The sequence below is a fragment of the Homo sapiens genome, chromosome 4 (genome assembly GCF_000001405.40).
Source record: "Homo sapiens chromosome 4, GRCh38.p14 Primary Assembly".
Taxonomy (NCBI): Eukaryota; Metazoa; Chordata; class Mammalia; order Primates; family Hominidae; genus Homo; species Homo sapiens.
The window spans coordinates 124919859-124935570 of record NC_000004.12 but is presented as its reverse complement, the minus strand read 5'-3'; positions in this window follow the sequence as shown (position 1 = coordinate 124935570).

The window sequence follows — 15712 nt, the reverse complement described above, 5'->3', positions numbered from 1 at the left end:
ATTTTACCACTAAAACTAATAAGGTGCAGAACCTCAGATAAATCTCCTATCTGCTCACAAACTCTTTTTGCTCAGCTATACAGGATAGCTGCTATTTCTGAGAATGTTTTGAAGCAAAGACTTGGATGGAGATTCTGAATTCTACCAAATTCCATACAATATTGATTACTCGTGGTTATTGAGATCCCATAGTCTTAACTGTTCAAGTAAGTTGGATTGCTTTGGGAGAGTAACCATCAGCAACCTATCTTTGAGTTATATGATCAGATTCTCTTGAACTTGCATGCATGCCCACATTCCTGTAGACCTGCTTATCCTTTGTCATGATACTATCTGTGCCATGACATTGTCTGGTCTTGCTTTTCTCCTTCTTCCTACCAAAGTCCTATTCTATACTGAAGAAAAGAAGCTAAAAGAAGCCCAATTGCAGTGAAGGAAGCACCCTGCTGTGTGAGCATAAATTAGGCCCTCTTGAACAGACATAAAATGCCAAGATGATAATATGCTTCCAGAAAAAGATCCTCCTTAAAGCAATTTAGTTTGTATAGCAAAGCAGTCCTCATTAAAATAGGCCCAAATGAATCAAGTAAGACAGCACCTTTAGATTTGGCCTTTTGAAATAAAGCATTTGCATCCTGTATGGAAAAGTGACATTTTATGTTTTCAAAGAAAGCATAGCATTCTCTTATTCAGCATAAAAAGGTAAGACATGTATTACGTCTAGAATATAATAAAGTCAGTGTTGAAATATTTCAAATATAAAAGTCTGAATTTGTACTTATATATATAATTTATATGATCAGCATATTGAATACATAACAAAAAGCTTTGAAGAGATTTTAGCAATTAATATTTATTAAACATTTCCCATGTGTTAAGTCCTAAATCCTTTGCATGTGTTAAATAATTATTATTTCCATTTGAGGATGCTGATACACAGAAAATTTAAGTAATTTACCCAAAGTGACACAATAATCAAATCTTAAAGGGCTGGATGTTTTTATTTTAATTGTACATATTTCAAATGGGTAACATGATGTTTTGATATCCTTGATTTTTAATCCAAGAGTACAGCTCCAGAGCCCATGCTCCTTGGTGCTACATTTGTGTGAAATCCTAAAGACTTAAATTTCAATTCTTGTTCTGAAACTTACGAATTGTATCTCCATAAGCAAGCTACTTAAACTCTGGGTATATCAGTTTCTTTATCTCTAAAAGGGGAATGAGAAAAATAACAGTGCCTATCTCAAGAGACTGCTGTGTGAATTAAGTGATAAAGTGTATGACAAGCTTCCTAGACTCTGCTTTCCACCTAGATGTGCTTAGTAAGTTATATACTTCACCTGCTCTTATATCACAAAATCCTCTGGAACAAGAGGAAACAAACTGAATAGAAACAGAAAAGACTTCCTAAGTTACTCATTTCCAGGTTCTAGGAAATGCAGAAAAGTAACACTTCAAAATTAACCATAAATACATAGAACCCACTAGGCAAACTATCCCAAAGTCAAGCTTCTTTGTGCAACATCTCATGTTAGCGCTGTCCTGGAATTATACATAAACATTCTGCCTTAAGAAAATCTATCTGTAGATCTTATAATTACAGTGATCTTGATTTCCTTTATCAACCGTGTTTCTGATTCTATATAGTCAAAGGAAGAAAGATGACAACTTGTATTAAGGAGAAGTAAATTTTCTTGCAAGAAATAATGAAAAAAGAAAAAAATTCTTTGGATAGTTTAATGACAGCATATTGGCCAAAGAATGCTTTTTCATTTTTTTTTCCTGAAATGAAATCACTTCTGATAGTGACTGAAGAGGTAATGATAACGTGATTGACTTTGACATTTTGACAAGCTTAATCTACTCTTTGTTGAGATAAGTTACCATTTTCATCAAAAACAAGTTAAAAGAGCTTGTCTGTTTTCCATAAAATATCTCATCATATTTCATCATCTTCTTATGCTTTCTTCAGAAAACAAACTTTCCATTCCTGCAAATGACTTAACATCCTACAATAAAATTATTTCGAGGGAAATAACTTTGTCTATTAGCAAAATGTAGCTCGATATTATAATTTATATCAATTAACCACACTCTACAAAAGTAGACAGGTATGAACAGACAGCTTATAAACAAGATGTTGAAGAGAATAAAGAATGAATAGAATAAAGAAAGGCAACTTTGGGATAGAAACAGTGACCTCATACAACCTATTAATGACTAGGATGTATAGAAATACTATGTTGTGAGAATTATGTAAAGTATAAAAATGCATGAAACTAGTAATTCATGTGAGTGTCTTTATGAGGAGGTAGCAGTGGAGTGGGGATGAAAAACCAACGGCAGACAGAGGCAGACTGATGACTTTTGTGTATAAGGACAAGACATTTGCCTTGACAACAAAACCGGTGAGAAGTAAAATCATAAGTCACTGATTTACTAAGACATAGAATACAACTAAGATGTTATAAGAAAATGTGGAACTTATGTGACAAGCCCCCCAAAAGCTAACCGCCTATTAAAAGACCTGAAATATATAAGTCATAGTTCAGAGGTGGTTTAGAAAGATCTGTAACCATAATGGCAGTTGAAGTATAAGATCACTGGCAAAAACATGGCATAACCTACCTCCAGGCATCTATCTATTGGGGTACTGCATGGTCCAAAGCTCACGCATTGCATTCCTTTTACTTGATTATGTGCTCACCTTTGTTAATAACTGCCTTATAATTGAAAAGGGCACAAAGATGTGTCCTTGTCCTTGAAAATTTTCCTTCTGCTGCCTATGATAATAAAAAGATATGTAATACAAATTGTAGTCAGGGTCATATCTGTCAGGAATACCTATGTGACTGGTAATATTGACATCTATTTGCACATGAAGTCTCATGAGTCAAAAATGAAAGTCTAATTGGACCTACTAAAATTGGACATGTTTCCCTGGTAAGTGTGTCCACAGAAATGTCATCCAAGTAGAAAGTACTTTGTGTAAATATGGAGCATATCTCATAAGATATCAATTGACAAATTTATTTTTATTGTTAAAAGCTTCAAATAAAAAAAGTAAGCAATTGACTGTGCGTGGCTATGCAGGATCAAAAACAATCAGTAGAAAAGAAGCTACTAGAGCCTATATATCAAAGTTGGAGGCTATTTCTTACCCCACTAGGATTTCATTTTCTCTTTTGACCCCAACAGAGGTTGTCCTTAAATCCCTGGTAATCAGAATCAGTTCTTAATGTAAATATCATTTTCTCTCTATGGTTGGAACATGGCTCAAAATACTGAAAGAAATATATGTACACATATTTTCTTAAGAATTTTTTTATTATGTTTCCTAAAATGTTTTAACTTGATTCCTAAAATGGAAACAGGCCCTTAAATAATAATGACTAAACAGATTTAGAAGCATAAAGGATGTCAGAACATCTCAGGTGTTTTAACTAAGAATTTGAGATATAAATACATAAAAAAAAAAAAAATATGGGCAACAAATACTTAGAACAAAAAAAATTTAAAATTTATTCAGGCCAAAAAAGCCTCAAAAGAGAATTTAAAGAGGAAAATAAAGAGTGTTATTGCAATTTGTATCCATTACCCATTTTAAAAATAATGCATGCCTTCCTTGAAAATCAGCTCTAGGTTTTATGTTTTAAATTTCTTTTGTAATTGTTTTTGTTTTCTAATGCTAATGCCCACTGTCTCATTTTCCCCATTTTAGGGAAAATGCATCATTCCATATGCAATTGTATATATATCCGGGCCAGTGTGAGTCATGGTATGGGAGAAAGGGAGAAAGAGAAAGCTCAATGCACCAGTGCCCAACTCAATACCCCAAAGACCAACCAATTAGTTGTTATTTGGAAAGTAGTTACTTTCCCTAGCCCTACATGGTCAAAGCTTGTTATTCTTAGGATTGTCTTTGCTTGCAAAATATATGAAACATTTTTAGAATGTATAATATGTATAAAATAGTTACCTATTATAATAATTATTTGTATTTAACAAATTGTGCTGTCGTTTCAAATGGTAGACTCAATGCATGCCTGCTTCAGATAACAGTGATAGTAGAATAAATAGATTACACACAGAAAAAACACTAGAAATACACACAAGGTATTTTTAAATGACTAATTAAAAGGTGTAATTTTACTCTGTAGTAAAACTCATGGATTTTATGCACAGCCCTGCCTTTATGAGGATTCAAGGACGACCAGCCTCTTAATTCATTAGGCAGTACCTAGGATTAGATATGGCTTTCCAAATGAAACCTAAACCCTTCACAAAACATTCCTGGTTTCAGATATCACTAGAAACCACCACACTGTAGAAAGGGTCACTGAGAGGTTTGCTGAGGTTCACAGACCTTTAAGTAAACTCAAGATGATTTTTTTCCAAGGACAAATGCCAAGTTTTTAGCTAGCCCTAGTTAAGTTTCATGCAAACTTTACTGGGATGCCAAACCTGGACCAATTAATAATTCTGAGCAAATACTGGGCAAAACTTAGGGGTTTCATCTTAAGTCCTGCTATTCTTCAGGTCTCAAATTATAAATTTCATACAGATGGTGTAAAACTTATTATAGTCACCAGAAAACTGCCTTATGAAGTTTGCATTTTTTTCATTTTATGTGTAACTGGCAACATCTCTGTCAACATTTTCAAGAGCTCACAAAACATTTTCTCCCAAAAAAAAGTATGTTGACGTATAAACTAATTAAACATAGTGCATTCTCATTTACTGTTCCAAAATGTATCTCTTCCTGTACAATATTCACAGAGACTAGACTGAGGGGAAAGAGGAGTCACTGGTTTAGCCAGGTTCAAGCAGTCTCTACAAATTCAGACAAATTTCTAGGATGTTATTCCCTAGGCAGGCAGAGGGTCTGGGGCAATCTGAGTCCACTCAAAATGATAGAGTTCTCTATGGGGTATCAATCATCAGCTCTTACAAATCTACTCAAATTCTTGGGAAAGAAAATACATACTTATGTGTCTACATGAAAGGATACAACCAGATTTTTTGTAACAGTAAAAAATTACTTTCCAAACTGAATGGTTTTCAAGATGTTCCTTGGATGACCAATCCACAAATATTTTCAAGCAAAATGTGCTATATAACAGTTACCAAGTACTCTGATCTTTTGCCTTTTTAAAATTCAGGATAAAAATTAAAATGGTATAATGAAAAAAATATTAAGACAAAAAGTGAACCTTAGAAGCCCATTTCTATAACCCAATTGCCTGCTTGATTTCTAGTTTCTCTTTCCATTAAACATTTATACATTTATCATGTATTTTTTGTAGGTTTAATCATAAAGTCTTATCACTTTGCATGAGTGCAGGCTGTTTTCAGAAGAAATTTTCTTCTAATTTAATAATTATTTTTTAGTCCCTAAATATTATTTCAATGCTGATAAAATACGCATTTCATTCCCTACAAGTGTAATGATCAGTTGGAACTGTTTAAATTAGATTGACTTTTCTTTACATATAGAGCTATACAAATGCCAGATTATATAGTATATTAGAGTCCAGGGGCCTCTGAAATCACAGTTCAATTTGAACTACTTTTAGAGATGAGAACATAAAAGATTCTCTGTGCCTATATGAATTGAGATCTTCTGACTCTCAGTATAAAACACTTTCCACCACATCATACCAACTATATTTATTCCTTATCAGTAGCAAAATGCAAAGGGCAGAAATTACATTATATATGTGGCTGAATGAGTAACTTTTAATGTGAATGCTCTTATGATTTATGTGTGTATATGTATTTCCATAAATATGTTTTACTGTTTATATATACTTATGTATGCATATAAATTATGAATTATATATATAACTATTTTTCTCTTTTTCATATTTCTATGAAAATCAGAAAATATGTCCTCTCTGGCAAAATAAAACAAAAACTATATTCTAAAGTTAGATCCAATGTCTAATAAACAATCCTTACACTTTAATTGCTAGACTCAGATTTCTATAAGTCATGTGGAGAGTGGAGACCAAATCAATATCTTGACTTATTCTAAAAATTTTATTCTGTTTAAGAGAGTGCCTCATACTATTTATTATTTCTGACCAAATAGATATCAGTTAAAATATTCTATACTATGTTTGCAGCAGAAGAATCACAGAAGAATACAATAAATGGTCTAGAAACTGCAGTGATGATTTACTAAAGGGTAAGTTTAGTTCTAAACTACTGATACTGATCACCTAAGTGCTCTGTCAGAGGTCAAGTTTCAGCTGAAACTTGGGTTATCAGCAGGAATGTGTCTGAAAGCAAAGTAGAAATATCTAGCACTCATGTTTACTCCACGTGCCTCAGCGAGATCACTAAAGGTCTTCATTGAACAGACTTTATTTGGAAACATTATGTGATTTATACTCTAAGCCAAACTATATTTTGTTTTCATATATTGTTATTACTGTAAAGGCTAAAAAAATTTGTTCGATTTGTACCTCTGTCACTATTTTTTGCTCACCTCTCTTTATCAAGCAGACATTGGCTAGGACATATAAAATTTTTCTCATAACTTGCTCATCTAAAAATAATCAATTTGGGCTTATCAACAAAGAACTAAGTACTTTTATAAAGCATTTATTTGGCATGACTTTTACCCTCTCCATAGGAGATGTGTAAGTGTAAAATAGGGGGTAGGATTAATATTCAGAGGAGAAAGAACCAGGGAGAGCTAAATGATAGAAAAATAAATTGGCATCTATGGCCTCTTCTCCTATTCTTATAGAATGGTCAGTGTAAGAAACCTTCAATGTTGCCACCTACTTACTAGTGTGGCTCAGGTAAGCACATGTTTCCATGAACCAGTTTGGAGGCTGTAGAAGGCCTCCTGTACACCTGAGGACCTAACCCACTGGTTTCAATCTTTCCTGAAGTCCTAGCTTTATAGATTGGTTTCTCCTTAATTAGCCCAATCCTTTTATTACTTATTGAAATGCAAATTACCACCCCAGAGGGAAAATATTAAACCTTATCAGTGATTTGGACATTATGGTGCATGACCCTTCATGAACTCATTAAGGTCTTCTCCTGAGTGCCAGATATGAAGCCTCTGTTCAGCATGGCAATCATATGACCAGCCCCGCTTCTTGTTTGGAGGACATGAAAATAGATCCAGCCAATGATCATGTATTTAATGCAATGTAGTATTTAGATCAGTAATCATAAAGTTGGTAATATCCACCTACCTTTAGGTTTATTATTAGAAAAAGTCCTGGTTATAATCCCTGCATTGGAGCTTTATAACAGCTCTCCAAGATAAATTTCTTTAAGCAATTGCTATGCTATGGATAAATGAAGATTTAATAAGCAGCTAAATATAAACCTATTCTAACAATTGGGAGCTAATATCGCCTGTATAGGAACTTTGCAATAATATTCTGAAAAAGTCAAAGTGCAAAAAGCAAGAGAGAGAGAAAACAAATTACTTTCCCAGTGGTTCAGTAGCAATTTATTTCATTTTGTATGAATTTCCCATTGGTGCCATTTGCTCATTTTTTGGAGGGAGATGGTGGTGGAGAGAGCTATCTGTATATATTAATTTTTTTTTTTTTGAGACTGAGTCTAGCTCTGTCGCCCAGGCTGGAGTATAGTAGCACGATCTTGGCTCACTGCAACCTCCATCTCCCAGGTTTAAGTGATTCTCCTGCCTGAGCCCCCCGGGTAGCTGGAACTACAGGCGCACGCCACCACGCAGGGCTAGTTTTTGTATTTTTAGTAGAGACGGAGTTTCACCATGTTGGTCAGTCTGCTGTCAAATTCCTGACCTCGTGATCTGCCCGCCTCGGCCTCCCAAAGTGATGGGAGTGTGAGCCACCACGACTGGCCAATTTGTAAGATTTTTTTTTAATATCAATAGTCTGAATCCTGGCCTGTCATAGTGCTGCAAACATCATCTCAGTTCAACTGAAAAAAAAGAAAAGTACTGTAATATTTTTGTTTTATCCTTATGACTGGGTAGAAGAGCGTGGTTCCCTGAGCAATGGCCCCATCCTCGAGCCCGAAGACCCACTGCCCTAAATGAGGACAGACATTTGTTTTTGCACTCAAAAAAGTTGCCTTGTGGCTCGCCATGCCCCCTAGTCTTGCCCCCAAATAAACTCGAGACCTTAGCGGGCACGCACTCAAGTGGCTGAACATGAAGACCAGCAGAACAGTGCCGGCGGAATGACATGGCAGAGAAAGAGAGAAGAGGAGGGACATTTGGACACCAAGGGGAGATTGGCCGGGGTGGTTGGAGAAGAGTCTGGCCACTGGGAGGCCCGACTCCAGGGGAAGACCACCTTTCCACTCCATCCCCACTTCTGGCTTCCCCTGCATCTCACTGAGAGCCACCTCCACCACTCAATAAAACCTTGTACTCATCCTTCAAGCCTGGGTGTGATCCGATTCTTTCGGGACACTGGGCAAGAGCTTGGCATACAGAGGGCTGTCACACTAGCCCTCTGCCTTTCTGATAAGGCAGAGGGTCCATTCAACTTATTAACACACAAGCCGTCTGCAGATGGCATATCTGAAAGAGCTTTGTAACACACGCCTGTTTGGGCTTCGGCAGTAGCCCACCTCTAGATGCTGCCATGGGGCCAGAGCCCAAAACCGCTCACCCTAGCCTCTGTACCTGCCCATCTGCATGCTCCTACTAGGGGTTTGAGCTGTGGGGTGATCCAGCAGGCAGGCCACACCCCTGTCACACGTCTTGCGAGGAAAATAAGGGAACTCTCCCATTTCAATATTTAGAAAAAGTTTTCTACCTTAAAATTAATTTTCAGGGTCTTTATTTTTGTGTCTTTAAATGTCTACCATATAAATTTTTGTCATCCTAAATTTATTGTAGAATCTTCAATTTATTGTGTAAATGTAGAAATAAAACTAAATATCCAACACTATTTGTTGAAATGTCCATCACTTCTCACTGGACTCATCTATCATAGTCCTACATAGGTGGAGAGAGTTTACAGATTTGTTTTGAAATTTGCAAATGTTTTAATTCTAAAAGAATTTAGAAATTTAGTACTTTTAAAACTCCCAAGACATTCTTTTTCTTTTTTCCTACTGATTTTTACATTTCTACCAATTTTCTATAATCTGTACTTTCTGTGCCTACTGATATCTGTCCTCTAATGTGACAAGTTGCATTTAATTTTGTGACCTAAGCTTAGAAACGGCTGTGTGACTACAGCCTGCCTACGCTGTCCTTGCTCTGAATTCTGGCTATTCCAGACAATTAGCAAAATTAACTTGGAAAATTATAAAACATTCCTTAATCTAAATTTTCTCATCTCTAAATTGGATCTATTCCACCAATATCAGACATTTATAAAAATTAGATAATGTGGACTGCAACTTAGCACATACTAGCTCCTCAACCAATGTAAGTTTTATTGATTTTTAATTTTCCTTCTATCATCTCCCTCCATACTGACATTATGCTGATATCAACTCTGCTCTTTATTCTTTTTTTTTTTTTTTTTTTTTTTGAGACAGAGTATCGCTCTGTCACCCAGGCTGGAGTGCAGTGGCATGATCTTGGCTCACTGCAACCTCTGCCTCTGGGGTTCAAGCGATTCTTCTGCCTCAGCCTCCTGAGTAGCTGAGATTATAGGCACCCAGCTAATTTTTGTATTTTTAGTAGAGACAGGGTTTCACCATGTTGGCTAAGCTAATCTCAAACTCCTGACCTCGAGTGATCTGCCCACCTCGGCCTCCCAAAGTGCTACGAGTACAGGCATGTCTGCTCTTTATTTTTAAGCAACTACGTGAAATGGTGACAGGCTGTTCCATGACATTTTCAGGGCCTAGGACAAGAATAGAAATGCAAGCCCATGTACACTACATGTAAATATACTTTATATGAACACATGTGGAGATGTGCAAAGTATATTTATGGGACTGAAAGAGGACAAAGTACTGAGTAATTTGAAATAAATAATTATTGTGCATGTCCCTGTGTTTTGTTGACAGGTCTGAAATATTTTGATAAGTAAAATAAGTAAAATCAGGAGTTCAAGACCAGCCTAGCCAACATGGTGAAACCCTGTCTCTACTAAATATACAAAAATGAGCTGGACACCTGTAATCCCAGCTATTCGGGAGGCTGAGACAGGAGAATCGCTTGAACCCAGGAAACAGAGGTTGCAATTAACTGAGATTGCACCACTGCACTCTAGCCTGGGCAATAGAGTGAGAGTCGATTTCAAAAAAAAAAAAAAAAAAATCGTAAGTTATGGTCTAATTAGAAAGAAGCTTTTTAACATAATTTGTATTTTATTGCCAGATGTGCCAAATTAAACATTTATTGAGTTATTACATTTATTAATTAGATTGTTTTTTATACTTTCAAATTTTAAAGAAGACATTGTTCCATTGAGTCATCATCAATAGGAAATATCAATTCTTAAATCAATACTTTGATTCTGGAATGAGCCTTGGTTTATACATATCATACAAAGAAGATCCCAAATGATAAATTATCATTTTAACATGTAAGTTGTATAATATTTTATTTTGCCATATAGAAAATTTTTAAAAAGCAATATACTACTCAATCAGGACTATATCTTGAACTATATTTGTTACAAAATAATTTCTAAATATTAGTTTGGAATTTACTTGTATGCAAATATCCCTCTTCATGTTCAAGCAAACATTTTAGTTTTTGTGTTCTATTATTGTTATATCTTAATGGAATGATGCTTTTGCTGTATATTTCACATGCAGTCTATTTTTGACAGAGGGGGAAAAAAACATTTAATTTAAAACTTTTAAAGCAATTAGTCCCTTTAAAACTGAGATTACCAAATGTAGATCTCTGAGTTTCTGTAAGCTTTTACTAAACTATTATAAGCAATAGTTCATATTCAAAAATGCAGTTCATGCATATTTCAAATTCACTACGTTTTTTAACAAAAAATGACATCTTTAGCTGCACATCTATTTTACCTGTTTTCATGCATCTTGTATCTTGTCTATACTGATTTTAACACCTTTAATAACATTTAGATGTCATTTCAATCATAAGTCCAAGGGTAGTTGTAATCTCAAATTTTATATAGGCTTTATTAAGATTCCTATATGTGAAAAGGTCTAGAAAATTTGACTGTAAATTTGTAATTGTTCCCTAAGTGTCATCAATTCTGGCAAAATTGAAGATATGTCTTTTAGTAAAAACTCAGACTGTGCACCCTAAGTAGCACAAAGAATGCCGTGGATCTTTGGCCATAATATTGGCTGCTATTTGCTTTATCAAACATGTTAGCAGCATTATCATAAGCTTGCCATCAATGGCCTTTTAATAAAGAGCTGAACATTTTTCTTTACTTTTTAAAAAGTTAATCAGTATTGTTAGAAGTCTCTATAAAATAAAAATATTCTTAATTCTAACATTTACTATCTATTTGGTTGCCAATATTTAGAAATGATATCATACTTTAAACTTTGCATCCATTTATACATATTGAAATTTGAGAGAAATATAAAGTGTTTAATATTGAAAAATATACTTCAGTTGCTATGTGCAACTGCTTTGAATAACACTCACATTTGTGAGAACCTGTAGAGCCATGATTTAGAATATGAAGAGAAGCAAGAAAATGGATACTCAGCACCACTGAGAAAAATATATTTAAAATAGAAAAAAAAACCTATTTCATGTATGCTGTTGAGACACCAGATTTGACAGGTCAACTGATTTATATTCATTCTTAAATGACTTTGTTTTCACCGTTCAAATACTCTGATCTGCAAAGCAGTGTCCTTCTCGCAGCTGGCATTGGCACAATCTGAAACTATTTATGGGATTCAGACACAGTCAACTTTTGCTTTAAGGACGTATGTCAAGAGATGTGGGTATTGCCATGGGACTCAGAGGGTCTATTTTGCCTGGAATGAGGGCAGTACTGAATGAAAGAGCTATTTATTTTCTGGAACTCTTGATGTTTAGGCACCACAGGCTTCCTGTTGGAAGACCTACATTAGCATTTACTAGTTAAGACATGTTTGGCTCCAACTTAACTGAAACTGTAAAAAATGGCAACTTATATTTATGTCCCTACATAAATAGAAGTTTAGAGAAAGATTCAGTTGTTGAAGGATATTGTCAAGAGCCACAGCCCCTTTATCTTTCTGCTTTCTATACTTTGTATGTGACCCTTGTCCTCACTGTTGCAAGATGGCTGCTAATCCTCTAGGTGCTGCATTCACATTCCAGGCAACAAGAATAAGAAGTGATGAAGAGCCAGGCGTGGTAGCTCACGCCTGTAATCCCAGCATTTTGGGAGGTTAAGGTAAGAGGATCGTTTGATCCCAGGATTTTTTTTTTTTTTTTTTTCAGACGGATTCTGGCTCTGTCGCCCAGGCTGGAGTGCAGTGGCAGGATCTCAGCTCACCGCAAACTCTGCCTCCCGGGTTCAAGCAATTCTCCTGTGTCAGCCTCCTGAGTAGCTGGGATTACAGGGGGGTGGCACCACACCTGGCGAATTTTTGTATTTTTATTAGAGACGGGGTTTTACCATGTTGGTCAGGCTGGTCTAAAACCCCTAACTTTGTGAACCGCCCGCCTCGGCCTCCCAAAGTGTTAGGATTACAGGCGTGAGCCACCGCGCCCGGCCAAGAGCCCAGTATTTTGAGACCAGCCTGGGCAACATGGCGAAACCCCAACTCTACAAAAATTAGCTGGGCACAGTGGCATGTGCCTGTAGTCCCAGCTACCTAGGAGGCTGAGGTGGGAGGATTGCTTGAGCCCAGGAGGTCAAGGCTGCAGTGAGTGGAGATCCGGCCAGTGCACTTCAGCCTTGGTGACAGAGCAAGACCTTGTCTCAAAACAAAACAAAACAACAACAACAACAAACAAACGAAGTGATGAAGAGATGGAGGCAGCATCTCTGGATTGAAGAGCAAAACAGTCCAAGACCTGCACAATACACATCTCATTTGCTAATACTATGTCACATCCAAGTATGAGAGCATTCAACAGGACACACTGCTACCTTGTAAAAATTGTCATTACACTTGTATGATGGGAAAAAAAATGATTGGATATATTGACTAGGCAACTAGCAGCATTTGCTTCCTTATCAGAGTGTAAGAAGAACAAACACTTCTCCAGGATATTCCACTGCTTCCATGTTAAACTATTCTCTTTCATTTAATATATAAGTGCTTTCCTTTATTTTTCTACTTTTTGATTTTACCCTTGTTTAGATTTCCAATTAAAACAAGTTTTTGATAGAGATTTATGGCATTTTATAAGAAAATTAGAAAATACAAAGAAGTAAAGAGAAACTAAAAACATCTAAATATCTACTTATCATACTAACACTGTTATTTTGCCACACATTTAAGTGCACAGACATAGGGATAAAAATGTATGGCTGTATCACCCAAGAAATTTTTTTATTCAGTGGAAATCTAAATACTTCCATATTGTTAAGTAGAGAAAAATAATATTTCTGATGCATTAAATTACTTTAAATGCATATGCCTTAAGTAATTAGTCTTACTTAAGGTATAAAGATATCCCCCAATTAATAACATAAGAATCTAGTGAATAAAAATAAATGTCAGGCAGCTTTTAAAATATTATCACCTATTTGTTTGTATATATGCATCTCTCTAAAAATTGCTTTATGTTTTCAATAACGTAAATAAAACATGCTTACAAAATATTTATATTTCATATTAAACAGAGTATAAAAAAATTAAAGCTTATCAATTTCATCACTTGACAATAATTACAAACACAGATAACAGAGAAACAATTGATCAAAAGTCGATAAATTGTTTTCAAGTGACTAAACTTAATAAAAATAAAAATTAACATATCCTATAACCATAATTTATCTTTGTAATTAAACAGTGATATTTTATAAAAATCTTTTGTTTCTTCCTCAAATATAGAAATTGTTCTTATATCAGTCTAGCTTTATCATCAAACCCATAATACTTTCATAGTGACTATCTTCCATAGTGTTTTGGTAGATAAAAAGCCTGTTCTTAACACATTTAATAGCCAATGTAATTTTTCTTTTTTGATAAGAATATTCATTTTAGTGACCCTCATCATCCCTTATCTTTAATAATCTGACAAAAGCCTGAATAACTGTAATTCTCATCCACATGCAATTTCCAAAGATATTGCAACAACATAGTCTAGGTCCTACCCAGGTTCTCTTGATAGGAATTATATGACACATGTATTTTCATGTTGTGATGCCTATATATTGCTGATTGTATAAAGATGTATACTTTACCATTTTAGTAAGAAACCAATCATCCCTCCAAAATTTCTTCTTTTTACAATTACCCCAATGCATTTTTATTGTTCAGAGGCTTTGGACATATTCACTTACTTTTGCCCCTCTATTTTCCTCTTTTCAAATTCAACAACCACCACCAAAAACAAACAAACAAACAAACAAAAAAACAAACCATAAAACTCATGAACCGCTGGTATCTCTCATTAGTCTGAAAAAGTAAACCAGATTTTCCTATTAAAAGTGTGTCAAAATGTGATTAAATCCTTAAATAAGAGGTATGTCACGCTAGAGACTGTTAGATAAGACTACCCTTGATTTGTAGATTATATAAAAAGTGTTCAAAGAAATATATCTCTTGGAATGTAGAAAGGGAAAGAAAATGAAAATGAAAATAAATAGAATTGATTAAAAGGAAAGTTTTGTTGAAGTATATACCCACAGGGTTGTGTTTTAAGATAAGGTAGTGTGGATTCAATTTCAATTTTCTAAATAGGCTTGAAATATAGCTAAAAATCAAGTTGACTAAAGGGAATTTCTTTGCATACTACGTCTCTCACATTGAAAGCTTATTTCTTGACACCTCTGTATCATATCTGTCTTAAAAATACTGCTGCCTTTTTTCTTTGTGTTGTTTTATTGTTGTTGATTTACCTATCAATCATTTGAGTTTAGACACTTCTAGCTTTCCAGCAAACTCTTGGCACTCATGCATTTATTTGTGTGTGATTAATATGCATATTTAAATCATTTCTGGATCAGCTGCTTATAGCATTATTTAATTTTATTTATTTCTAAAAACGTTTAGTTTTCTTATTGAACTACCAATTAATTCCCAAAAAAGGGGTCTCTGACTTCTGTGTATCTCACCAACATAATAGAAAATCTTATAGTGACTGTAATTTCTGAGCCAGAATTTGAGGCCTGAAAATAATTTTGTTATACGATTTATGACATTATAGGAATTTTAAAATAATCAAATTGTTAAGAGTATGGAATGTAGAGTCAGATATGCTTTAGTTCATATCCCAACCTCCTACCTTATTCATTCCATGGTTTTTAACCCATCCAAGCTTCAGTTTTATTCTGGTAAAGCACGGTTAAAAATTTTTTTACAGGATCTTGGTAAACTCAAATGAAGTACTATGCATAAAGCAATTAATGTAGTGACAATAAAATCAGTATAATATTCCAAATTAAATTTTATTCGTTTTTTTTTTTTTTTTTTTTTTGAGACAAGGTCTCACTCTGTCACCCAGGTTAGAATGTAGTGGTAAGATTGCAGCTCACTACATTTACCTTAACCTCCCAGGCTCTGGTGATCCTCCCGCCTCATCCTCCTGAGTAGCTGGGACCACAGCCACACACCACCACACCAGGCCAATTTTTGTATTTTCTTGTAGAGAAGGGGTTTTGCCATGTTGCCCAGG